The sequence below is a fragment of the Homo sapiens genome, chromosome 4, assembly GCF_000001405.40.
Source record: "Homo sapiens chromosome 4, GRCh38.p14 Primary Assembly".
NCBI classification, from domain to species: domain Eukaryota; kingdom Metazoa; phylum Chordata; class Mammalia; order Primates; family Hominidae; genus Homo; species Homo sapiens.
Window position 1 is genome coordinate 10,805,529 of NC_000004.12, and position 26,280 is coordinate 10,831,808.

A 26,280-nucleotide genomic window follows, 5' to 3' on the forward strand; every position below is an offset into this window, starting at 1 on the left:
TTTTTTTTCTCCAGGGAACCCTGACTAATACAAATATAATAATTGCCAGTGGGATACTCTGGAAAATAATGGTTAGCCTTCTGTGAAATTTGATGCCTATCATCTGTTCCCTGAAACTTCCCCTACGTACTTAGAGAAAGAGAGTTTGCCCACATGAGTCTTTCTCATGCAAATAAAGAAAACCCTACTTTGTTTATTTCCATCACCCCATTGAATAGCTTTCTTGCGCTACCTCAGTTTCTCCAAGGTCTTAGGGGGCAGAAAACAGAAACCTTTGGCAAAGGTCAAAGACAGAATGAAACACTAGCTTTATCGATGAATTCTTCTTGAAAGTCAAATTATGTGGTGGAGTTTCTTTCTCCAACTCTCCAGAGGAAAAATCAGTATACACAGGTGTATTAGTCCATTTTCACAATGCTGACAAAGACATACTCAAGACTGGGCAACTAACAAAAGAAAGAGGTTTATTGGACTCACATTTCTACATGGCTGGGGAAGCCTCACAATCAGGGTGGAAGATGAAAGTCATGACTCATATGGCGGCAGACAAGAGAAGAGGAGAGCTTATGCAGGAAAACTCCCCTGTTTAAAACCGTCAGATCTTGTGAGAGTCATCCACTATCACAAGAACAGCTCAGGAAAGCCACAATTCAATCACCTCCCACTGGGTTCCTCTCATGACACATGGGAATTGTGGGGGTTTCAATTCAAGATGCGATTTGGGTGGGGACACAGCCCAACCATATCAACAGGGGGCTCATAGTTTATTGGTATGGTAGGAAGCAGTAGATATATCCCTTGTGTAGCTCAGGTTTTCTCAAATCACATCAGCCTCAAAATTAAAACAAAAACAAAATATGTTTAATTAGATGACATTCTCTGTTGGTGGGGTTTTGGAGAACAAGCATCCTCATACTGCTGGCATAAATTCAAAATGGTACAATACCTATAGAGGGAAAGTTGGCATTATATTTTTAAAAATCCATGCATATTCATTCTTTGTCCTGACATACTTCTAAGTAAATATCCCAAGGGCAAACTGATTAGAAAAACCCCACAAAATCTAAAAGATGTACACACACTGTTGTGCATTATAGCATGATTTAAAGTGACATAGGAGAGGCGGAGTCACCAACTGGCATGGCTAATTGACCAGCTGGGCAAAAGGCATCAAGGCTACAGTTCACATTAGGAGCTGGAGGAATCACAAGGAAATTGGCTGATCAATTTGCAATTATGAATGGATGAGCGCTGTTCCAACCACCCAGAAGTGAAGGATTGGGTCATATCTTTCAGTCCTGCTGGTAAGCCACCTTGGCCTGCTGAATAGATGTCAAAGGGGCAGACCATAAGTACCAGATGCAGCCTGAGCCCAATGACAACATAGGGGCTTTAGCTTGTTCTTCTAATGTCCTCTTTCCAGTTTCCCCTCAGAAACAGGAGCCAACAGGACCATGAAGGGGCTGCTGCTGTAGTGTGCATGGCTGGAGTGTTCTGCCTGGTGCAAGGTATTGACTGATGGCAGCCTGGGGTGGTGCTACTCAAACATTCCCACTTGCTCCTCTGGCTTCCTTTGCCCTGCTTCCGTATACACAAGTAAAGAGGCCCCCTGACTTTCACATCTGACTTCCGACTAATTGCCTATTACTCACTTCAGCTGTTCATTATCATTTTGTAATGCATCAATGGTCCTTAGCAAGAGCCATCTGTTATGGACTGAATTGTGCCCCACCAACAAAACTCATATGTTGAAGCCCTAGCCTCTCATGTGACCATAGGAGATAGAATCTTTAAGGACATAATTAAGGTTAAGTGAAGTCATGAATTAGGCCTTAATCCAATAGGTCTGCTGTGATGATAAGCAAAGGGACAAATACCATAGCTCTCTCTCCATGTGCTCTCAGAGGAAAGGCCATGTGAGGACACAGTGAGAAGGCGGCCATCTCCAAGGCAAGGGGGGAGGCCTTAAACGAAATCAACACTGCTGACACCTTGATCTTGAACTTCCAGTCCCCAGAACTGTGATCAAATGGTTTTCTGTTGTTTAATCCACCCAGTCTGTGGTATTGTATTATGGTACCCTAGCAGGTTAACCCATTATTCAATCCTCTTAACATTACAGCTACTATTTTCTCCAGATATCTTAAATGCCAGATATGCCTCTGTATTTGATGTATTCTTTTCCACTGAAGTAGCCTCCCAGCTTGCCTTCAACAAATGTTGTAACGATTAGACTACCATCTTCTGTGAAACCTCGCTCTCTTCCACCTTTTACCAGGAATGGGGTCCCCCTCCAGCCAGGCAGTGGGTCATCCAGTTCCAAAACCCCTCTCATTGACCACTTTATCCTACCATATCTGTCTTGACAGTTGTAAGATGGATTTTTTGGAGTCAGGTGCTGACATGGCTGTAAGATATTTATTAGGAATCAACATGTATCATAGGAAGCAGGATTGGTTAAAGGAAGAAGTGAATTTCAATGCAGGCAAAATGAACATCAGAAAACATGGTGGGGAGCTCTGAAGCTAGTACTTCCCGTCAGATGATCCTGTGTTGGGCCAAAATGGCCAGGCCTTTCTACTCCTACCTTGCTCAGTCTCCAGAGATGGGCTGCCCTGGACAGGACGTGACTGCAGCTGGGGCAGCTCTCTGCATCTTCACAGATCCTGAAGGGTTATCAGCTAGAGGCCGTCTGCTGAATACATCTCTACAGCTGAGCAGTAATCCTTCCTTGCTGGGGACATGAGTTTCACATAATCATATTTACTTCTGTAAAAACCTGCAACAAAAGTCATTCTTAGTAATGGAATGTTTAAAAGCATTCTTTTCTGTGATGAGGAGAAGTTTCTCCTTCTGATCCCTTCTATTTGACATAATATTAAAGTGGCTTGCTAGTGTAGTATGGCAAGGAAAAAAAGAAGGAAAAGAAATAAGGATGATAAAAGAAGAAACAAAACTGTCATTATTTACAGATAATTTTTCTGTTATTTTTAACAATATTGTTGCAAACTATTTCAACATGGCCCCACCAATACCATCTCATATGCTGCTTTCCATGTACCTGAGACTCCTCCCACTGAGAGAGATCATCTTGCTCCCTCTCCTTTAAGCTGGGAGGGAATGAATGACTGCCCAGATCAATGGAATTCAGGAGAAGTAATGTTATGGTTCACTCTCTTTTCACTCTCTCTCTTTCAGAACACTCACTTTTGGAACCTGGCCACCATGTTGGAAGGAATCCCAGAGCACATGAGGAGGCCTTTTGGGGGTGTTCCAGCTGACAGCCTTAGCTAAGGTCTTAGCTAATAGTCAGCATCAACTGCTGGCAAGTGAACAAGGCTTCAGATGATTCCAGCCCTCAGCTTTCCAGCTGAAAACATTGTAAAGCAAATACAGCCATTTCCACTTTGCCCTGTCTGAATTCCTGACCCACAGAAGCCATGAGAGATAACAAATGATTACTAGTGCTTTAAGCCACCGGGTTTGGGAATCATTTCTTATGTATCAATAGATTACAGCAAATGTCAAAAAACTATAGATAAAGTTAGGATGATAATTCAGCACAGTTGCTAGATACAAAAGTCAATATTGAAATCAATTCTATTTCTATATACTGGCAACATACAGAAGTCAAATTTAAAATTTACAATAGTATAAAAATATAATTATCTAAGAACAAATATAACAAAATCATATGAGTCCTTCAAAGAGATAATCACAGAACTCAATTAAAATATACTGAAAAAGACCCCAAAAAGGAGATATGCAAGATATATATTACACTCATGGATTCACAGAATTAATATTGTGTAGATACCAATTACCTCAAAATTGATGTACTATATTGTACCAACCAAATCACAATCACTTAGTAATGTGTTGAGCTGATTTTAGAGTTCATAAGAGAATTGAGAAGTCTAAGAATAGCCATGGCCTTCTGGAAGAACAAGGTGAGTAGTTGGTCTCCAGATTATAAAGATAAAGGACTATAACAGAGTTACTGGTGCAAGGACAGAAACATTAGCAAATGGAGCACAGCAGAAAGCCTGGACACTGGCCTGCATAGATATTGAAGCTTTAGATACAGCAGATGTGGTATTGTAGCCACATGTGATGATGTGAACTGATGGATTTTTCCACGAATGTCATAGAACAATTTGGTATCCATATTGAACAAAAAATGAAATTAAATCCTCCTACAGAGAAACCAATTCCTGGTGGATTAAGAACTATATGTGAAAGGTTTAAAAACACAGATTTTAAAAACAAGATAGAAAAATATTTATAAACTCAGTGTAGAAAAGGGTTTTTTTTTCTTCTTAAAAATAGTCTAAAACCCATGACCCAACTAAGATTGGTCAATGTGACTGCATTAAAATTACGAATTGTATTCATCAAAAGAATCTCTATAGCTTACAGATGAAATAATACCCTGTGACTTGCTTCAGAACAATTTAGTGGAGCCAGTGGAGAGGGAAAGGTGTATATCTGACTCAAAGGGAGCCTGAGATGGTGGTCATTGTGACGAGGCAATGTTCATAATAGCAAAAACTGGAAATAACCAAAATGCCCATGAATAGTAGAATAGACCAAAAAAATGGCGTATTCACACAATGTAACCATAGAGCAGTCAAAATGAACCACAGTTATGTGCATCAGTATGAGTGGTTCTCATCTGGAGAACAAGAAACAAACCACAGGTAATCTATTCACTAAGATTCAAAAACAGAGAAAACTAAATGACATTTGTTGAGAGATTTATACATGGTTGGTAAAATGATGGTTACAACATTGTATGTAGTGGTTATCTCAAAGAAGGCACAAAGATAGAGACAAAGGGGCTTCTACATTACTTACCAAATTATATTTCTTTTCTTTTTTGAGACAAAGTCTCACTCTGCTGCCCAGGCTGAGCGCAGTGGTGCCATAACCACTCACTGCAGTCTTGACCTTGTGGGCTCAATCGATCCTCCCATCTCAGTCTCCCAGGTAGCTGGGACTACGGATCAACGCCACCACTCCTTGCTAATGTTTTAATCTTTTGTGGAGAGGAGGTTTTGCCACGTTGCCTAGGCTACTCTCCAACTCCTGGAATCAAATGATCCATCTGCCCCCGCCTCCCAAAGTGCTGGGATTGCAGTCATGAGTCACCACACCCGGCCAAAATTCTATTTCTTAGTGGTAGTTTCATACATGTTTCCTTCATTTAAAAATTTTATATTGTATATATATTTTAATATATTTTTCTGCATATAAAATAAAACTCACAATAGAAAAGAAAAACAGCAATAGATGTAGCTATTATGACAAAGCTCAAGAAGAATAATGCCTGCTATTTCATGTGTAGTATTTCTAATTCAAATTTATGAATTAGTTTGCCTTTATTATTAATTATTTTTAAATGAATTAGCTGCCTTTCTTTGGGCTTGCTTTAAAAATGAAGAATCACCACTATCGTTCTCTGATTCATTCATTGGTCTGCATATTTTCTGGACTGTTCTTGTTTGAGGCATGTTACTACATATTGGGGGCACAGAGATAGATAAGACTCAGGCCTTGCTCTAAAAGAGTCTGCATTTCAGTACGTGAGTGTGGTTAGTGGGAGCGAAGGATTAGTTGAATAACTTATTGCCCAGAGCAATGGTTCTCAGACTTGAGCATGCAGCAGAATCACCAGATGGGTTGGCAGAACACAGATTACCGGGCCCCACCCCCAGAGTATCTGATTCAGGAGAGCAAGGATAGGGCCTGAGAATCTGCATGTCTCACAATTCCCCAGTGATGCAGATGTTGCTGATCCAGAGGACCCTGCTTTGAGAATCACTGCTTTAGAACATTTGTATGATCTGAAAAGTATTCCTTAATTTAATGACTTCTCTCTTCTCAGATAGTTTTTTTTTGTTGTTGAAAAAAACTAAACAGAAAAAGAAATGTATCAACCCCCTATTCATGTAAGCAGGTTAAAATATAGTATTTTATTACTCTTCACATAACTTTTCTTTTGTTTGGTTTTAGATCTTATGCTTTCTTGATACAACTAAAGCTAGAGAGACATGGAAGTGGGGAGATGACGTGTCCATGCCTAAACTGGGCATCAGGAAAGGGGGGTATGCTTTAGCTGTTACTAGATCAGGCAGGGATTCAGAGCTGAAGCTGCTCCTCAGGGGAAAAGAGGTCAGACCCTCGGTGAGTTGTGTGGAATTACTTGCCCAGTGGTAGCTGGAGGGGCCCAGATTCAAGAGGCTATTGAAAGGCAACTCAGGATTGAGGCATCATCCCATTGGAGATAGTGGTTGTTAAAAATTTAGACAGATTCAAGAGGTAAAGATGAAGAAGATCAGCTAAAATGATCAAAAAGTTACTGGAATATGTTCATTTTTTAAAAAGTGAAAATGACAGTGGTTTATTTGGTTTCCAAACAAGAGGTTCAGAGGTGGCCAGTCCCGGCCCAGGGAATATGCTGGATGGTGCCGTCAAGGGCTCACCATCCTCAGTTGGTGACTATTTTCATGATCCCTGGAAGGCTGCTGTCCCTCCAGACACTTCTGTATTCCAGGAAGGAAGAAAAAAAAGACAGCAATGCATGAAAGGGTTCACAAGCTGTCAGGAAAGTAAAAGCTTTCCTGGAAGTTGCAGCCAGAATTTGTCTGCTTGTACCACGTGACTAACATTTCTCCATGTCCCCCAGTGCACAACGTGTATGTATATTAAATCATCTCATTGTACACTTTGAAAGCATACGATTTGTCAGTTAAACATCTTAAAGTAAAACAAAGACAAAACAAAAACCAGAAATGTAAAAGAATATTTCTGCTTGAATCTCACTGACTGGAACCATGCCACATGACCACCTGAGGGTGGAAAGAAGATAAGGGAGGTGGAATTGGATATGGGATTGGCTAGCCAGTGTCTGCCACACCAAGGAGAGACCCTGTTAGTTCCAGTCTTCCAAATGTTAGTCTTTGCCAGTTTTTTGGGACACACAATTTATTCCAGCAGAGATTTCTCTTGATAGAGTTTAATGTGAAACCATGCATTTCTCTCGGCAAGGCAGGCAAATTACTCCCTCTCTTGGAGACTCATTCTGGCTTGTTTCATAGGATGGTAATTTAGGTGCTGTCTTTGGAAACAGACTTCGTTGGTTTGAATCCTGGCTCCTCTTATTAGTTGTGTGACTTTGGGCAAGTTACTTTCTCCCAGTGTCTGCATTTCTTCATCCATAAAAGAAGAATTAAAAGTGGTTCTCACCTTATCAGAGTATTATAGGAGTTAACACAACAGCTAATATAGCGCATGTGAAACAGAACAGTGCCCAGTCCAGACTAAGCCCTGGATAAATGGATAAATGTTAGCAATTACTCTTCAAAGGTTAGAAATTTACGTGGTCCCAACCTTTCTCACCTGGTTTATGTAAAATGCCTCTCATTTCCTTCATACTAATTGAAAACTTATTTTTCATTTTCCTTCAAGTTTCTTGTTTCTGGAAGCCTAGAGTTGCACCCAGTGTGCATTTCTCAAGTGACACGGTTGCTAATCTCTGTTAGGCATTCCTGTCCTGACAGTCAGTTCATTGCCATGAATCTCCACGTTTTTGGTGAGACCTGTGACATCCACTTCCTAGGAAGGATGCTGCTACCTTAGACCTAACTTTTTTCAGCCTGAGACTTGAAACTTGCCCCAGCAGATTCCCAAACTGAAGCTATTGATGTTTCTGAAGCACGTGCTTCTAGCAACCCTGAAAGCTCTGGTACCTCTGCCCTGTGTTCCTCAAGAAACAGTCTTTCCTTGGCTTTTAAATGTTCCATGCTCAAAATAGCATTTCTATTTGCTAAATTTCCTTTTTCTGTTCCAATATTATTTTGGGAAGGCTCAGCTGGGTTTCCTAACCCCTTATTATTCTCTGGCAGGTCACTTTCCTTCTCTAACACACATGGGCCTAGCCTTGTTTGTTGGGTTTCTGTATCTCCTTTCCTTTCACTATCCCACTGGCTTCTGGCCCAGATATTTATTTCACTAATATTCTCCTCTAGAGAACCTCTTGTGGGGTTCCCACAGTGAGAGATATGGAATGAACCAGCCTTGGGCCTGAAAAGAACACACTTCCAGAGCTGAATAATCCAATCCAGTAAGCACTCAACCATGAGATCAATATCTAACCCAGACTTGGCTTTGCTTTATTATTTTCTGGTCCAGTTCCCCTTTAAGATATTTCAAACTTTCTGTGCCTACCTGTTTTAGTCCATTTTCATACTGCTATGAAGAAATATCAAAGACTGGGTAATTTATAAAGAAAAAGAGGTTTAATAAACTCACAGTTCCACATGGCTGGGTAGGCCTCATAGTCATGGCAGAAGGTGAAGGAGGAGCAAAGGCACGTCTTACATGGTGGCAGGCAAGTGTGTGCAGGGGAGCTGCCCTTTATAAGACCATCAGATCTTGTGAGGCTGGAATAAGTTACTCACTATCATGAGAACAGCATGGGAAAACCTGCCCTCATGATTCAATTACCTCCCACTGGGTCCCTCCCATGACACATGGGGATTATGGGAGCTATAATTCAAGATGAGATTTGGGTGGGGACACAGACAAACCATATCATCACCTGTTTTTCTTTAATTCTATAAATTCATCAATCATATTCATTCAGGCACAGATAATATCACCATGCTTATTTCAATAATTGGGCCCTTGAAGCATACCTAGTAAGTCTTAATCAAACTAATAAAGTTTCAGTCAGTCTTTACCATTCTTCACCATGAGATGATGCTAGTCTATGGAATATAAGCCCCTTCCCTCCAGCAAGCATCAGTCCCCCACGTTTTTGGGTTAAACTACTTGGAAAAAATTCATTGTCTTTCTTTCACATAAACACAGTAAGTACTCCTAGGGTTGATTGTAATGTGACCTTTCAGACTGAAATGTCATCATAACAATTCAAGTAAATGCTTGGTTATTTGCCAGCCACTCTATGTAGTAGAAAATCTATTTGATATGCTTTTAAAAGCAAATCTTCACATAAGAACAAAATGTTCCTGGTATGTTCAAATCACTTGCTATAAATTCTGGAGGACATTTGAGTGCAATTGCATTAAATGTAACACTGAACTCTCAGATTAAAATATTCAGGAGGGCAGCAAACTTATACATTAGTATACTTTTTATTTTTCAGGGAAAATAGTAATTGCATTCATAAGAAAAGAGATAGATATGAATGTAGACATTGACACCAGTGAATTCCAGGGCAAGTTGACCACAGTGTTATTTACCATTTGAAGTAATCTTGAAACCCATCAAGAGAAAATATGTTGCAAAAACTTTGTATTGTTTCTGTTTTTATGTAAGGGCTTTTACCATAAAAAAAAATCTAGTTAAAGATTTTAAAAATAATAAAATCATTTAAAAAACACATGACATATCTTTAAATGCTTATAATTAAGATTTTAAAGTAAGCATTTGGGCCAGGCATGCTGGCTCATGACTGTAACCCCAGCACTTTGGGAAGGGGAGGTGGGTGGAACACTTGAGGTCAGGAGTTCGAGACCAGCCTGGCCAACATGGTGAAAACACATCTCTACTAAAAACACAAAAATCAGCTGGGCGTGGTGGTGTGTGCCTGTGATCCTGGCTACTCGGGAGACTGAGGTGAGAGAATCACTTGAACCCAGGAGGCAGAGGTTACAGTAAGCTGAGATTGCACCATTGCACTCCAGCCTGGGAGACAGAGCGAGACTCTGTCTCAAAAAATAAATAAATAAATAAAATAAAAATAAATAAAGTAAGAATTCATTCTATTGTTATGACAAATTGTATACACCCTAAATTGTTAACAATATTTTGTATGCATACCTATTCCAGCTACCTACCATTAATAAATAGGCTGTTCAAGGTCAAGGATCAAGTCAAAGTTATCTATGTATTTCCAAAAGTAAAATTATATTGACATCTAGCAAGGTACTCAGTATTTTTAAAAATAGAATACATCTATTACACCATGAGTTAAATTTTAAAAAATTCGGCATTCCCTAAAAACAAAAAAACAAAACAACAACAACAACAACAAAAACCCAACTGTTGACCTTGTTAGTCTAGGGAGGGTGCAGTAGAAGAAAAATTTAGATTAACAATCTCCTGCAAAATTTAAAAGATTTTGAATTCATATTATTAGTGTCAGAGCTGACCAACACTTAATTTATAAAAAATAAATACACTATGCATGACCCAATTTTATTTAAAAAGTAAAATATTATTTTTGACTGAGAAAATAAAACAATTTTCTTTGCTGGATACCCTATTTTATCAAATCTAATACAAAAACCTTTTACTGAATATACTTTGTTTTCATAAACTTCTTCACCATATTTTTCATAGTTGTTCCTGTGAAATAGTTGTTAGTAAATACAAAGTGATTTTATTAATTCTAACATTTATTTTTCTTTCCAAACAGAAGGAAAGAAAATAATTACTTGTATGAAATACTTGGCATAATGGCTCCACTCATTTATTTATTCCATTAATACTGAGTGCCGCCCAGGTGTCAGGCAATGATACAGGTACCGGGGACACAGAAGGAACAAAGTGGACTGAAATCCTTCACTCTTGGAGTTTATTTTATAGTTGTAGTCTAGACAGACCAAAATTAAAAAAAAAATCAGTACATCTTACAAGTCTGTTAAAAGGTCATAAGTATTATGTAAAAAATAAATTAGGGAAGGAAGATGGTAAGTACTGAATACTGATAATGTATGTGTGCGGGGGCACTGCAATTTTAGATAGGAGGATCACAAACGCTTTTCTGAAAGGGTGACATTTGAGCAATCACTTGGTGATGTATAGGAGGGAGACATGGGTGTCCAGAATCATGTCAGGTGGCCAGAATGGTAAAGACCTTATACTAAAATATTCCATGTATAATTTATGTTTGCAAAAACAGTCTACTAGGAATCCTACCTGTAGTACTGACACGGAAAGGCTATGAGACCTTCTCAAAGACCCTTTCTCTCTCTTGCTCTCACTTTCTTTATCTGTAATATACGGGGTTGAGCTTCATTGGTTCTCAGCCAGTGTGGTCCGAATGATTCTCAGCCAGTCTGAGGGCATATAGGAATGCTAGAGAGTATTTCTGGTTGCCCCGATGTTTGGAGGAATACATCTGACATTTAATGGGTGAGGCCCAGGAAAAGTAAACCTCTTGTAATGCATAAGACAGCCCAGTATAACAAAGGCTTGTCCTGCTGAAAATGTGAATGGGGCCTCTGTTGAGAACACTGGGCTAGGTCATCAGGAAGTTCCCATCTGGAGCTAATGGTGAACGTTGCCGAGCCTACGCGAACAGGGAACGCTCACTCCCCATTCCCGTGTTTCCAGGTGGCAGAACATCCACTAAAGTAACCTGCAGGCCTCTCTCCACTCTCTCCATCTTTCTTCCACTTTTCTGTTTGGTGCATTCAGGGCTTAACTCTTTCTAGTCTTCTTCCTTTGTACATCAGCTTTTTATTGCTGTGTAACAAAATATTACAAACCTAGTGGAGGAAAACAATACCCATTTATTAGCTCACAGCTCTGTAGGTCAGAAGTCTGGCATGGTGTGATTGGGTTCTCTGTTCACGGCATCCCAAGACTGACATCAAAGTGTTGGCTAGGCTGATGTCCGGTCTGGGGGCTCTGGAAAACATCTGCATCCAAGCTCATTGTTTGCATTGGCAGGATTCAGTTCCTTGTCACTGTGTACTAAGGTTTTCCAGTTGCTCAATGGATGTCCACCAGTGGCAGTCTCAGCACTTAAAGGCAGCCCACATTCCTTGAGACTAGGTCCCCTCCAGCTTTAAGGCAGCCAGAGCATGCTTCCAATCGCTGACTTCTTCATCTCTGACCTTTAGCCCAGTTTTAAAGGGCTCATGTGATTAGGCCAGGCCTACCTGGATAATCTCCCTCATAATAAGGTCAACTGGTTTTGGACCTAAATTATATTTGCAAAATTCCTTCAGAGAAACACCTAGATTAGTATTTGATTGAATAACTGAGAAAATGGATATGTTGTTCACCAGAGGCCAAGAATTTGAGGGGTGATCTTAGAACTCTGCCTACCACATATCTGAAGCAAATTTGCTGGCCTATATATTCCCTGCTTCCTTATGCAGTAAATTTTACAAGGGCGGGTTCCCTTGTAGTGGTCCTGTAGTTTTAAAACCTTTCCAGTAACTGACAAGACTAGCGTATTTCTGGGGTTGTAGAATGAGCTGTAGCTCATATGATTTTGCATTTAAGCCAAGACCTCTAACTTAGCTTTAACCAGCAATAAAGTTTACATGAAGATGTCCATTGGTCTGATTCCTCTATCCATCGTTTAATTACTTCTCAACACAATTAGGAAAAAAGGGGTGTTATTTATTAACCCTTGAAATACAGTGAGGTTTTTGTAGGTGTTACCTGCTATACCTGTCTGAGAAATACATTACTGTTGAACAAGTTCAAGAAAGATTAATAAATCATTAAAATAATGGTTTTACCAATAGATTTTTTATCTCTATTATATGTTTTAAAATCTACTTTAAAATTACACAAGTAATATAAGAATGCGTTATTGTTATAAAACATTCGGTTTAGAGTAAGCTTAAGACTTCCTTAGCATCACTCTCCCAATATTCTCCCAAGAACAAACCATTCTTAAACTTGTATTGCATAGTCTTATAAATTATTTTCTAATGAAATCATACGTACCTGATTAACATTTTTGCATTATTAATATCATTATTATATGTAAAAGGCAAGTCACAGAGTAAGTCTTGGAAAGCTTTCTGTGTCATTTGCATTTGTATCTACCTTTTGAACTTTTGCATAGTGTTTTATTTTAAAGATCTACCGCAGATTTTATCACCACCTCCCTGGTGATCATTTACACTGTTTCTGTTGCTTGTTAACACAAATAATACAGACACAGACTACTTTGTACAAATATCTTTGTGTGCATGAATGAACAAATCTTTCAGAGAGATCCCAGAATTAATATTGGTAGTTACATTACTTCTTATATCGGTTGATACTTCCATGTTGCCCTCTAAAATATTCCCATGAACAGTTTTGTTGTGTGTTTGTGGGAGCCCAATAAAAAGCTTCTCTTCTTCCTTGTCTAAATTCTGAAATGATTGAGAAATGAGAAGAACGTTGTGTGAGGTAGAAATCAAAGATGATTACCATTTGCCTTTTCTTACCCATACTCACCTGCCTCTCTTCACATTGAAAGGTAGAGTCTAATTCTCCTCCCCTAGAATCAGGGCTGGCCCTGGTGAGTAGCCTTGACCAAAAGAATGTGACAGAAGTGATGTCTGTGGAACTCAAATGTAGGCTATAAAAAGCCCTGTAGTTTCTACTTGGATATCTTATAATCTTCACTCTGGGGGGTACTCATTTGGAGCAGAGCTGCAATGCAATAAGAAGCCCAAGCCACATGAGAGGGTGTTCTGGTCAGCATTCCTAGATAACCAATGAGCTGAAAGCCATCATCTAATAACAGAAATCTGCATGGGCCATCTTAGATGGCGAGCCCACTTGAGCCTTCAAATGACTTTAACTTCAGCTGCTGTTTGACTGCAATTGTTGTGAGAAGCCCAAATATTAACTACCCCACTGGCAGTCAATACATGGAATTCTAATACACAAAAGTAGTTTCAAGTCACAAAGAACAGGGATGTTCAATATGCAGCAATAAATACAAAGACTAATATGGTGGATTAAAGCAAAAATTCTACTTTGTTACTGATAAATTGATCTTAGATAAAGTAGCTTATTTTTGCAGATGTGTTAGTCTATTCAGACAGTTATACCAAAAATCCCATAAACTGGGTAGCTTATAAACAACAGAGGTGGGATGGGTGTGGTGGCTCACACTTGTAATTCCAGCACTTTGGGAGGCTGAGGTGGTCGGATCACTTGAGGTCAGGAGTTCAAGACCAGCCTGGCCAACATGGTGAAACCCTGTCTCTATTAAAAACACAAAAACTAGCCAGGCATGGTAGTGGGCACCTGTAATCTCAGCTACTCAGGAGACTGAAGCAGGAGAATTGCTTGAATCCAGGAGGTGGAGGTTGCAGTGAGCAAAAATGGCGCCACTGCATTCCAGCCTGGGTGACAGAAGGAGAATCCGTCTCAAAAAAATAAAAAAAAAGGAAATAAATAAATAAATACACAACAGAAGTGTATTACTCATAGTTTTGGAGGCTATAAAGCCTGTGATCAAGGTGCTAGCAGATTCAGTGTCTGGTGAGGGCTTGTTTCTCATAGACAGTAACTTCTAGTTGTGTCCTCACATGGTGGGAAAAGCAAGGCCGCTCTCAGCGGCCTCTTTTATAACGGCATTAACCCTGAACAAGAGGGCTCCACCCTCAAGACCTAATCACCTTCATACCATCATTTTAGGGGCTAGGATTTTAACACATGAGTATTGAAAGGACACAAATATTCAGACGACAGTAGCATGCAAGTAAATTTTCTATACTGAATCTCAGGGTTAGATATACTGTACTTCTCTTCCAAAATCTCCACATTGGGGAAGCCTTCCCTGCTTGATCTCTCAACTACAGGCCCAGAAAATACCATGTACTCCAAAGCAGAAAGTCTGCTGAATTTGAACTCTCTACTATCAAGAGATATGGAGAAGAAAGAAGCGAAGTTACACAGAGTTGCTCAGTTTTATTTTCCAAAATTCCCAACCATCTTAATCATTTGTCTCATAGAAACAAATAATTGAGAGGCAGAGAGAGGTGTGTTATGCAAATGGAGCTTTCCCTACATAAAAAGAAACATCATAAATGGGGAAAAATGTTCACCCCCAATACACATTTGAGAGTGTACTCATTTCTCCACAAACTTGCCAATAGTGGGCAGGGTTCAACTTAAATTACTTTTTCCTATTTTGTGATGTAAAAAATTATATATCTATATTACATTATGTATCTTTACATATAATTACATATGTTTATGTTATATATCTTATATTTATTTTATATATTTATTATTACTTATATTGCTATTACTGTTATATCTTTATTATTTTTATTTTAATATTATTACAGAGATGAATTAGTATCTTTGTGTGCTAATTTCTCATTTTTTCCTTTTGTATAAAATGTTTGGTCATATCATTTACCCACTTTCCTTTAGCGTTTTCTTGTGTCTCTCTTTCTTATTGATTTGTAGAAGTTCTTTATATAGTTTGTAAACTAATGCTTTCTCTATTATGTAGCTTGAAGACTTTTTTTTCAGTTAAGTATTTGCCTGTCACTTTAAAAAATCATACCTTAGTTTTAACATTTTTGTCTCAAATTATCAAAATTTCTATTTATGGATCCTGCTTTTAGTGTTTTAAAGAGGAAGATCTTCTATTCCAAGATTTAAAATTTTTTAAAAATTTTTATGACATTATAATAGCATTTTCTTTTTCTTTTCTTTTTCTTTTCTTTTCTTTTTTTGAGATGGAGTTTCGCTCTTGTTGCTCAGGCTGGTGTGCAATGGTGCAATCTCAGCTCACTGCAACCTCTGCCTCCAGGGTTCAAGTGGTTCTCCTGCTTCGGCCTTCTGAATAGCTGGGATTACAGGTGCACGTCACCATGCCCGGCTAATTTTTGTATTTTTAGTAGAGACGGGGTTTCAACATGTTGGTCATGCTGGTCTCGAACTCCTGACCCCAGGTGATCAGCCTGCCTCGGCCTATAATAGCATTTTCTATACTTATGTACTTGCATCTGTAATTATATTTTTATGATGTAGAGGCAACTTTATTATCATTATTCTCTGATATTTATATCACTGTCACAAAACATTTATTGGATAATTTACAACTTCTTCTGCTGATTTAGACATACAGCTCTTGCTTTGTAATGAGTTCTAGATTCTCTATTCTGTTCTATTTCTCTTTTTGCCTAATTCTGAACCAATAACACATTAACACATTGTTAAGGTAATACAGGCCATCAGTTTTATTTTTTCTTTTGGTCATAATATTGTTGCAGATACTGGCTTCAATTTTCTGTAGATAATCCCATATTATGGCTGCATCTGTTTGCTTCGTGGTGGTTTCATTTAATGTATTCTTATATACCCCTGTATTTTCCGTGCATGGAAGTTGCCATTTTAAGCTTGGTTAGACTCAATTTTAATATTTTGCACAGTAACACTTCATACTATGGCTTATTTTGCATCATGCCAGGAAATACACAATGTGTTGTTGTCCCACTGTAGTCGGCACTAAAATGATCGGTGGGTTTGGGTAGAATGCTCAATTTTACCATTATATTGTCTTTTCAATAATAAGGTAACTTTTCACAAATTTTTTATGCATAGATAGTCATTACCTGAGCTAAGGATTTCAGCTGGCAATTAAAAGAAGAACTTTCTGATTTCTTCCTAATTCATGAGCTGAATTATTGTGTAAATAAGAAATTATTTTTATCTTCTAGGCATATTCGGTTTCTGTGCTCTACAGTGTGTACAGGAAATGCAAGATAGACATTATTTTCCTTCAACTGTTGATTTTCGGGGAAATAAGTTGGTAGCCCAAATGTCCAGTTACTTCCAACGGTCTCTATAAGGATCTGTCTCTTTCTCTCTATTTCTGTCTTTCTGTCTCAGTCTCCCTACCCCTTCTTTTCCTCTCTCTTATTATGAAATCTATTGGTTTTTCAATATTAAATGTGTTTCAACTGATTGCATTTATTATTCTTTTTGATGTTCAAATGGCCCTATATTTGGCCAGTGGCAGCTGCTTCATTGCCTGTTCTAGTGCTGTTTGACAAGACCTGTAACTGCCTTGATAGTACTCTTGCCTTCTGACACACTAGAGTATCTCACTCTTAATTTCTTGCCTTGATATGCATTTAACTTTACCACTCTTCTCCATGCTCATGCTTTGGGCATTTAAACAATTTAAATCTATTTGATTGGAGTGTGATTTACATAATTAGAATGCACCCAGTTAATTGAGTTTTGACAAATATGTTTACTCATCAAACAACCACTACAATCAAGGTATAGAGCATTTCTATCACCCCCCACAATTCTCCACCTCTTTCCATTCAATGCCCTCAAGAACTCCTGGTCCCAAGCAACCACTGGTGTGTTTTCTATCACTAAAGACTGGATTTTGGTTTTGCCTATCATGGAATTTCATCGAATGAAATTATATAGAATACAACGTCTTGTGTCTGATCTCTTTTAGAATAATGTTTTTGAGATTGGGCACAGTGGCTCATGCCTGTAATCCCAGCACACTGGGAGGCCAAGGCAGACAAATCATTTGAGGTCAGTAGTTCAAGACCAGTCTGGCTAACATGGCAAAACCCCGTCTCTACTAAAAATATAAAAATTAGACGGGCATGGTGATGCATGTCTGTAATCCCAGCTACTTGGGAGGCTGAGGCAAGAGAATCGCTTGAACCCGGGAGGCGGAGGTTGTGGTGAGCCGAGATGGCACCATTGCCCTCCAGCCTGGGTGATGGAGTGAGAGACTCCGTCTCAAAAAATAAATAAATAAATAAATAAATAAATAAATAATAATAATAATAATAGTAATAATAATGTTTTTGAGATTGATCTTTGTTTTTCCATATAGCAGTTGTTTGTTGCTTTTTGTGGCCAAGTAGTATTCCAACTGCGTGGATATTGTGGAATTCTTTCTTATATTTATTTGTTGATAGACATTTGAGTTTCTTTTCCCCCAGTTTGGGGGTCTTACAAAATTTTTGTGAATATTCATATACAAGTGTTTGTGTAGAAAAAATATTTTCATTTTCCTTAAATAAATACCTAGAAGTAAAATTACAGGGACATATGGGAAATATAGATTTAACTTTCTGAGAACCTGCCAAATTGTTTTCCAAAGAAGTTTTACCACTTACCCTTTCCACCAACAATATATGAGCATCCCAGTTGCTATACATCCTTGACAACCTTTGTTTTAATTTATACTCCTTTTATGACTAATGATTTTGAACACATTTTCATGTGCTTATTGGCATATGTATGCCATTTGTATATACATATACAAATGTATATATATATACCACATATACAAATGGTATATATATGTGTGTGTGTGTGTGCTTGTGTGTGCGTGTGAAGTGCTTGTTAAAGTACTGTGCTTATTATATTATATATAAGCATATTATGTATTCTATTACATTTTAAACTCTGGGTTGTTTGTCTTTTTATTAAGTACCACTTCATTACATATTTTGGATACAAGTCCCTTGCCAGATATATCTATTGTAAATATTTTCTCTCAGTCTAAGTCATTATCTGAATTTTCTTAATGGTATCTTTTGATGAGGAAAAGTTTTTCATTTTTGAAAACGTCCAATTTGTTCTGTGTCTTATCTAGAAAATAGCTTTATAGTTCAAGGTTTTAAAAATATTCTACATTTTGAAAAGATTTTATAGTTCTAATTTTGGTCTATTATCCATGGTGAGTTAGTTTTTGCATATGGTATGTCATAAGGGTTATGATTAACTTTTTTTTTTTTAAATTATACTTTAAGTTCTAGGGTACATGTGCACATTGTGCAGGTTAGTTACATATGTATACATGTGCCATGCCGGTGCGCTGCACCCACTAACTCGTCATCTAGCATTAGGTATATCTCCCAATGCTATCCCTCCCCCCTGCCCCCACCCCACAACAGTCCCCAGAGTGTGATATTCCCCTTCCTGTGTCCATGTGATCTCATTGTTCAATTCCCACCTATGAGTGAGAATATGCAGTGTTTGGTTTTTTGTTCTTGCGATAGCTTACTGACAATGATGATTTCCAATTTCATCCATGTCCCTACAAAGGACATGAACTCATCATTTTTTATGGCTACATAGTATTCCATGGTGTATATGTGCCACATTTTCTTAATCCAGTCTAACGTTTAAGTCTTTAATCCATCTTGAATTGATTTTTGTATAAGGTGTAAGGAAGGGATCCAGTTTCAGCTTTCTACATATGGCTAGCCAGTTTTCCCAGCACCATTTATTAAATAGGGAATCCTTTCCCCATTGCTTGTTTTTCTCAGGTTTGTCAAAGATCAGATAGTTGTAGATATGTGGCATTATTTCTGAGGGCTCTGTTCTGTTCCATTGATCTATATCTCTGTTTTGGTACCAGTACCATGCTGTTTTGGCTACTGTAGCCTTGTAGTATAGTTTGAAGTTTGAAGTCAGGTAGTGTGATGCCTCCAGCTTTGTTTTTTTGGTTTAGGATTGACTTGGCGATGCGGGCTCTTTTTTGGTTCCATATGAACTTTAAAGTAGTTTTTTCTAATTCTGTGAAGAAAGTCATTGGTAGCTTGATGGGGATGGCATTGAATCTGTAAATGACCTTGGGCAGTATGGCCATTTTCACGATATTGATTCTTCCTACCCATGAGCATGGAATGTTCTTCCATTTGTTTGTATCCTCTTTTATTTCCTTGAGCAGTGGTTTGTAGTTCTCCTTGAAGACGTCCTTCACATCCCTTGTAAGTTGGATTCCTAGGTATTTTATTCTCTTTGAAGCAATTGTGAATGGGAGTTCACTCATGGTTTGGCTCTCTGTTTGTCTGTTGTTGGTGTATAAGAATGCTTGTGATTTTTGTACATTGATTTTGTATCCTGAGACTTTGCTGAAGTTGCTTATCAGCTTAAGGAGATTTTGGGCTGAGACAATGGGGTTTTCTAGATATACAATCATGTCATCTGCAAACAGGGACAATCTGACTTCCTCTTTTCCTAATCGAATACCCTTTATTTCCTTCTCCTGCCTAATTGCCCTGGCCAGAACTTCCAACACTATGTTGAATAGGAGTGGAGAAAGAGGGCATCCCTGTCTTGTGCCAGTTTTCAAAGGGAATGCTTCCAGGTTTTGCCCATTCAGTATGATATTGGCTGTGGGTTTGTCATAGATAGCTCTTATTATTTTGAAATACATCCCATCAATACCTAATTTATTGAGAGTTTTTAGCATGAAGGATTGTTGAATTTTGTCAAAGGCTTTTTCTGCATCTATTGAGATAATCATGTAGTTTTTGTCTTTGGCTCTGTTTATATGCTGGATTACATTTATTGATTTGCATATATTGAACCAGCCTTGCATCCCAGGGATGAAGCCCACTTGATCATGGTGGATAAGCTTTTTGATGTGCTGCTGGATTCGTTTTGCCAGTATTTTATTGAGGATTTTTGCATCAATGTTCATCAAGGATATTGGTCTAAAATTCTCTTTTTTTTGTTGTGTCTCTGCCTGGCTTTGGTATCAGAATGATGCTGGCCTCATACAATGAGTTAGGGAGGATTCCCTCTTTTTCTATTGATTGGAATAGTTTCAGAAGGAATGGTACCAGTTCCACCTTGTACCTCTGGTAGAATTCAGCTGTGAATCCATCTGGTCCTGGACTCTTTTTGGTTGGTAAGCTATTGATTATTGCCACAATTTCAGCTCCTGTTATTGGTCTATTCAAAAATTCAACTTCTTCCTGGTTTAGTCTTGGGAGAGTGTATGTGTCCAGGAATTTATCCATTTCTTCTAGATTTTCTAGTTTATTTGCGTAGAGGTGTTTGTAGTATTCTCTGATGGTAGTTTGTATTTCTGTGGGATCGGTGGTGATATCCCTTTTATCATTTTTTATTGCATCTATTTGATTCTTCTCTCTTTTTTTCTTTATTAGTCTTGCTAGCGGTCTATCAATTTTGTTGATCCTTTCAAAAAACCAGCTCCTGGATTCATTAATTTTTTGAAGGGTTTTTTGTGTCTCTATTTCCTTCAGTTCTGCTCTAATTTTAGTTATTTCTTGCCTTTTGCTCGCTTTTGAATGTGTTTGCTCTTGCTTTTCTAGTTCTTTTAATTGTGATGTTAGGGTGTCAATTTTGGATCTTTCCTGCTTTCTCTTGTGGGCATTTAGTGCTATAAATTTCCCTCTACACACTGCTTTGAATGCGTCCCAGAGATTCTGGTATGTTGTGTCTTTGTTCTCGTTGGTTTCAAAGAACATCTTTATTTCTGCCTTCATTTCGTTATGTACCCAGTAGTCATTCAGGTGCAGGTTGTTCAGTTTCCATGTAGTTGAGCGGTTTTGAGTGAGATTCTTAATCCTGAGTTCTAGTTTGATTGCACTGTGGTCTGAGAGATAGTTTGTTATAATTTCTGTTCTTTTCCATTTGCTGAGGAGAGCTTTACTTCCCAGTATGTGGTCAATTTTGGAATAGGTGTGGTGTGGTGCTGAAAAAAATGTATATTCTGTTGATTTGGAGTGGAGAGTTCTGTAGATGTCTATTAGGTCTTCTTGGTGCAGAGCTGAGTTCAATTCCTGGGTATCCTTGTTGACTTTCTGTCTCGTTGATCTGTCTAATGTTGACAGTGGGGTGTTAAAGTCTCCCATTATTAATGTGTGGGAGTCTAAGTCTCTTTGTAGGTCACTCAGGACTTGCTTTATGAATCTTGGTGCTCCTGTATTGGGTGCATATATATTTAGGATAGTTAGCTCTTCTTGTTGAATTGATCCCTTTACCATTATGTAATGGCCTTCTTTGTCTCTTTTGATCTTTGTTGGTTTAAAGTCTGTTTTATCAGAGACTAGGATTGCAACCCCTGCCTTTTTTTGTTTTCCATTGGCTTGGTAGATCTTCCTCCATCCTTTTATTTTGAGCCTATGTGTGTCTCTGCACGTGAGATGGGTTTCCTAAATACAGCACACTGATGGGTCTTGACTCTCTATCCAATTTGCCAGTCTGTGTCTTTTAATTGGAGCATTTAGTCCATTTACATTTAAAGTTAATATTGTTATGTGTGAATTTGATCCTGTCATTATGATGTTAGCTGGTTATTTTGCTCGTTAGTTGATGCAGTTTCTTCCTAGTCTTGATGGTCTTTACATTTTGGCATGATTTTGCAGCGGCTGGTACAGATTGTTCCTTTCCATGTTTAGTGCTTCCTTCAGGAGCTCTTGTAAGGCAGGCCTGGTGGTGACAAAATCTCTCAGCATTTGCTTGTCTGTAAAGGATTTTATTTCTCCTTCACTTATGAAGCTTAGTTTGGCTGGATATGAAATCCTGGGTTAAAAATTCTTTTCTTTAAGAATGTTGAATATTGGCCCCCACTCTCTTCTGGCTTTTAGGGTTTCTGCCGAGAGATCCGCTGTTAGTCTGATGGGCTTCCCTTTGAGGGTAACCCGACCTTTCTCTCTAGCTGCCCTTAACATTTTTTCCTTCATTTCAACTTTGGTGAATCTGACAATTATGTGTCTTAGAGTTGCTCTTCTTGAGGAGTATCTTTGTGGCGTTCTCTGTATTTTCTGAATCTGAACGTTGGCCTGCCTTGCTAGATTGGGGAAGTTCTCCTGGATAATATCCTGCAGAGTGTTTTCCAACTTGGTTCCATTCTCCCCATCACTTTCAGGTACACCAATCAGACGTAGATTTGGTCTTTTCACATAGTCCCATATTTCTTGGAGGCTTTGCTCATTTCTTTTTATTCTTTTTTCTCTAAACTTCCCTTCTTGCTTCATTTCATTCATTTCATCTTCCATCGCTGATACCCTTTCTTCCAGTTGATCTCATCGGCTCCTGAGTCTTCTGCATTCTTCACGTAGTTCTCAAGCCTTGGTTTTCAGCTCCATCAGCTCCTTTAAGCACTTCTCTGAATTGGTTATTCTAGTTATACATTCTTCTAAATTTTTTTCAAAGTTTTCAACTTCTTTGCCTTTGGTTTGAATGTCCTCCCGTAGCTCAGAGTAATTTGATCGTCTGAAGCCTTCTTCTCTCAGCTCGTCAAAGTCATTCTCCATCCAGCTTTGTTCCGTTGCTGGTGAGGAACTGCGTTCCTTTGGAGGAGGAGAGGCACTCTGCTTTTTAGAGTTTCCAGTTTTTCTGTTCTGTTTTTTCCCCATCTTTGTGGTTTTATCTACTTTTGGTCTTTGATGATGGTGATGTCCAGATGGGTTTTTGGTGTGGATGTCCTTTCTGTTTGTTAGTTTTCCTTCTAACAGAGAGGACCCTCAGCTGCAGGTCTGTTGGAATACCCTGCCGTGTGAGGTGTCAGTGTGCCCCTGCTGGGGGGTGCCTCCCAGTTAGGCTGCCCGGGGGTCGGGGGTTAGGGATCAGGGACCCACTTGAGGAGGCAGTCTGCCCATTCTCAGATCTCCAGCTGCCTGCTGGGAGAACCACTGCTCTCTTCAAAGCTGTCAGACAGGGACATTTAAGTCTGCAGAGGTTACTGCTGTCTTTTTGTTTGTCTGTGCCCTGCCCCCAGAGGTGGAGCCTACAGAGGCAGGCAGGCCTCCTTGAGCTGTGGTGGGCTCCACCCAGTTCGAGCTTCCTGGCTGCTTTGTTTACCTAATCAAGCCTGGGCAATGGCGGGCGCCCCTCCCCCAGCCTCGCTGCCGCCTTGCACTTTGATCTCAGACTGCTGTGCTAGCAATCAGCGAGACTCCGTGGGTGTAGGACCCTCCGAGCCAGGTGCGGGATATAATCTTGTGGTGTGCCATTTTTTAAGCCCATCGGAAAAGCGCCGTATTCGGGTGGGAGTGACCCGATTTTCCAGGTGCCATCTGTCACCCTTTTCTTTGACTCAGAAAGGGAACTTGCTGACCCCTTGCGCTTCCCAAGTGAGGCAATGCCTCGCCCTGCTTCGGCTCACGCACAGTGCGCCCACCCACTGACCTGCGCCCACTGTCTGGCACTCGCTAGTGAGATGAACCCGGTACCTCAGATGGAAATGCAGAAATCACCCGTCTTCTGCGTCGCTCAGGCTGGGAGCTGTAGACCAGAGCTGTTCCTATTCGGCCATCTTCTGGTGCTACATTTTAAAAGAGAAAGAAAAACTACATATACAGTAAGGTAGGCATTATTTCTGAGGTAAGGTAGAATATTTTATTTAGAGACAACAGTGTAAATGAAAACTTTCTGATGTTATAAAGGAAATAAGCAGATGAATGAACAGTATTATATGCTCCACTATTTTTATAAAGTTATAAAGTTTCCAGACTAATGTATTACACCACATGCTATTCTAAATATTATGGCAGGAATGAGGGATGGCACTATGGTCTGAATGTTTGTGTCTCCCCCAAATTTATATGTTGAAATCCTGCCCTTCACAGTGACAGTATTAGGAAGTGGGGTCTTTGGGAGGTGATTAAGTCATGAAGGTAGAGCCCTCATGAATGAGATTAGTGCCTTTATAAAAGATGTCTCAGAGAGCCCCTCACCCTTTCCACTATGTGAGGACACAGACAAAAGACACCATTTATGAACCAGAAAGTGGGCCTTCATCAGACATTGAATCTGCTGGCATCTTGATCTTAGACTTCCCAGCCTCCAGAACTATGAGAAATAACTGTATGTTGTTTATGAGCCACCCAGTCTATGGTATTTTGTTACAGCAGCATGAATAGACAACCAACAACCCTGCCCTAAAATATCTAACTGTCTAGATACCACAGTGGTTCTCAATATTAATTGCATAGTAGACTCACCTGGAGGAAGTTTTAAAATTTAAGATGCCCATGGTGTCCCCAAATGACTTGCATGAGACTATGGGGTAGTCCCAGGCTCCAGGTTTGGCAGCCCCTCAGGTTGTGCTTACCTGCAGCCAGGCTGAGGACCACTGACATGGAGATCATTTTGCCTCCCAGCACCCATGCTGTCACTTCCATATCTTCACAGTGAAGCCAGGTGATATGACTGTCACCATCTAGTTGAAACTCTACAATGGTTTTCTGTTGCTTTTTTAAATAGCCCATACAAATCCTTAAAATGGTTACTGCTCCTGCATAATTTGGCCCTGTCTTCATTTCCATCCTGCTGTCCTGTTTAATGTTCCTTTAATGATTATGCTCTCCTTCAGGCTTTATGTAAGGTTTTTAACACCAGCTTCCACTCCACCACCTACGTCCACCCAGGTAACTCCTACTCACTCATAGGATCTTATATCACATGTCAACTCACAGGGAAGTCTTTCCTTACCCACTTCCCAGATTAGACCAATTCTCCTGTTATAATCCCGTAGGGCACCCTGTACTTTCTTTTCACAGAATTTGTGACAGTTTCAATGAGATATTTAGCTAATTATTTAGTTTGTACCTACCCTTGTTAATAGACTGTGCGTCCTCTGTGAAGGCAGGCACCACTTTCATTTTACACATGACTAAATCTTGAATACCTAGAAAATTGACCCCTGGATAGTAAGCTTTAATTTTATTTTTTCCTTAAATGAATGAAGCAAGTAGAAGGCTGATCTTAAAAGGTCTAGTGGAGTGTTGACCAAATTAAGGAATGATCTAGAGGACATTACAATTGAGAGAGAGAGGTGGGTGCTAAAGCTGAATCTGTGGTATCAAGCCTGGGTGATTCAATGAATACTCATGTCATTAACAGAGACTAGGATGCCAGGAAAAGTAATTGTCATTTAACCAACTTGTACAATGGTTGCTTTATTGGAAAATCAGGAGTTGAATTCCCACCTGATTCGAAACAAATATATATGACAGGGAAAAAGAGATAAAGAAGAGCAGTAAATAGAACTCCCAGATAAATGTGGAATTCTAATATAAAACAGAATTGGTCCAGCACTTCCTGATCCTTGGGAATAACAGAAGGGAACCAAGGGAACCCTGGAGAAAGCTAAACCTGTTTGTGTCCCTTTATCAGACACATTTAGCACCAGGTTTATCTTTCCAGACCACTCCTCAGGTTGACACAGGACACCTGTGAGGTAGCTACCTTCTAAGTCCTCTGAGAAGCCCGGCCAAAGATCCCCCACCTCCCCCCAAGTCTTTGGTGTCACTTGCATCTACTTGATGTTCCCCCATTTTCCAGGCAGAAGCCCGGAAAGTGGAAATAAGGACATAGATTTTCAGTTCTTGCCTTCTTCCTGTCTCTTGTTTTTGGTCTTCCCATTGTTCTTCTATTAGTTACTTACAGTTGCCTGATATGGTTTGGCTGGGTCCCCACCCAAGTCTCATCTTGAATTGTAGTTGCTATAATCCCCATATGTCATGGGAGGCCGCTGGTGGGAGATAATTGAATCATGGGGACAGTTGCCCCCATATTGTTATTGTGATGGTAAATTCTCACGAGATCTGATGGTTTTATAAGGGGCTTTTCCCCCCTTTGCTTGGCACTTCTCCTTCCTGCTGCCACGTGAAGAAGGATATGTTTGCTTCCCCTTCCACCATGATTGTAAGTTTCCTGAGGCTTCCCCAGCCCTGTGGAACTGTGAGTCAATTAAACCTCTTTCCTTTATAAATTACCCAGTCTCAGGCAGTTCTTTACAGC

The 26,280-nt window shown here is 39.4% G+C and overlaps 1 long non-coding RNA gene across 1 annotated transcript in view, besides 1 other annotated feature; it reads left to right on the forward strand.

The window, feature by feature from the left end:
- Nucleotides 1-3,409, forward strand: part of LINC02498 (long intergenic non-protein coding RNA 2498) — a 71,347-nt gene extending 67,938 nt beyond the window's left edge. The window contains exon 4 of the long non-coding RNA XR_925377.3: nucleotides 3,199-3,409. This is a non-coding gene — a long non-coding RNA (long intergenic non-protein coding RNA 2498). The remainder of the gene's footprint in view (nucleotides 1-3,198) is intronic.
- Nucleotides 611-1,810: an enhancer, noted in NCBI's record as "CDK7 strongly-dependent group 2 enhancer chr4:10807763-10808962 (GRCh37/hg19 assembly coordinates)". NCBI's record gives its function as "activates an origin of replication core promoter dependent on BRD2, BRD4, P300/CBP, MED14 and CDK7 cofactors, with strong dependence on CDK7, by STARR-seq in HCT116 cells {active_cell/tissue: HCT116}" and the evidence as "EXISTENCE:reporter gene assay evidence [ECO:0000049][PMID:35650434]".
- Nucleotides 3,410-26,280: the final 22,871 nt, after the last annotated feature.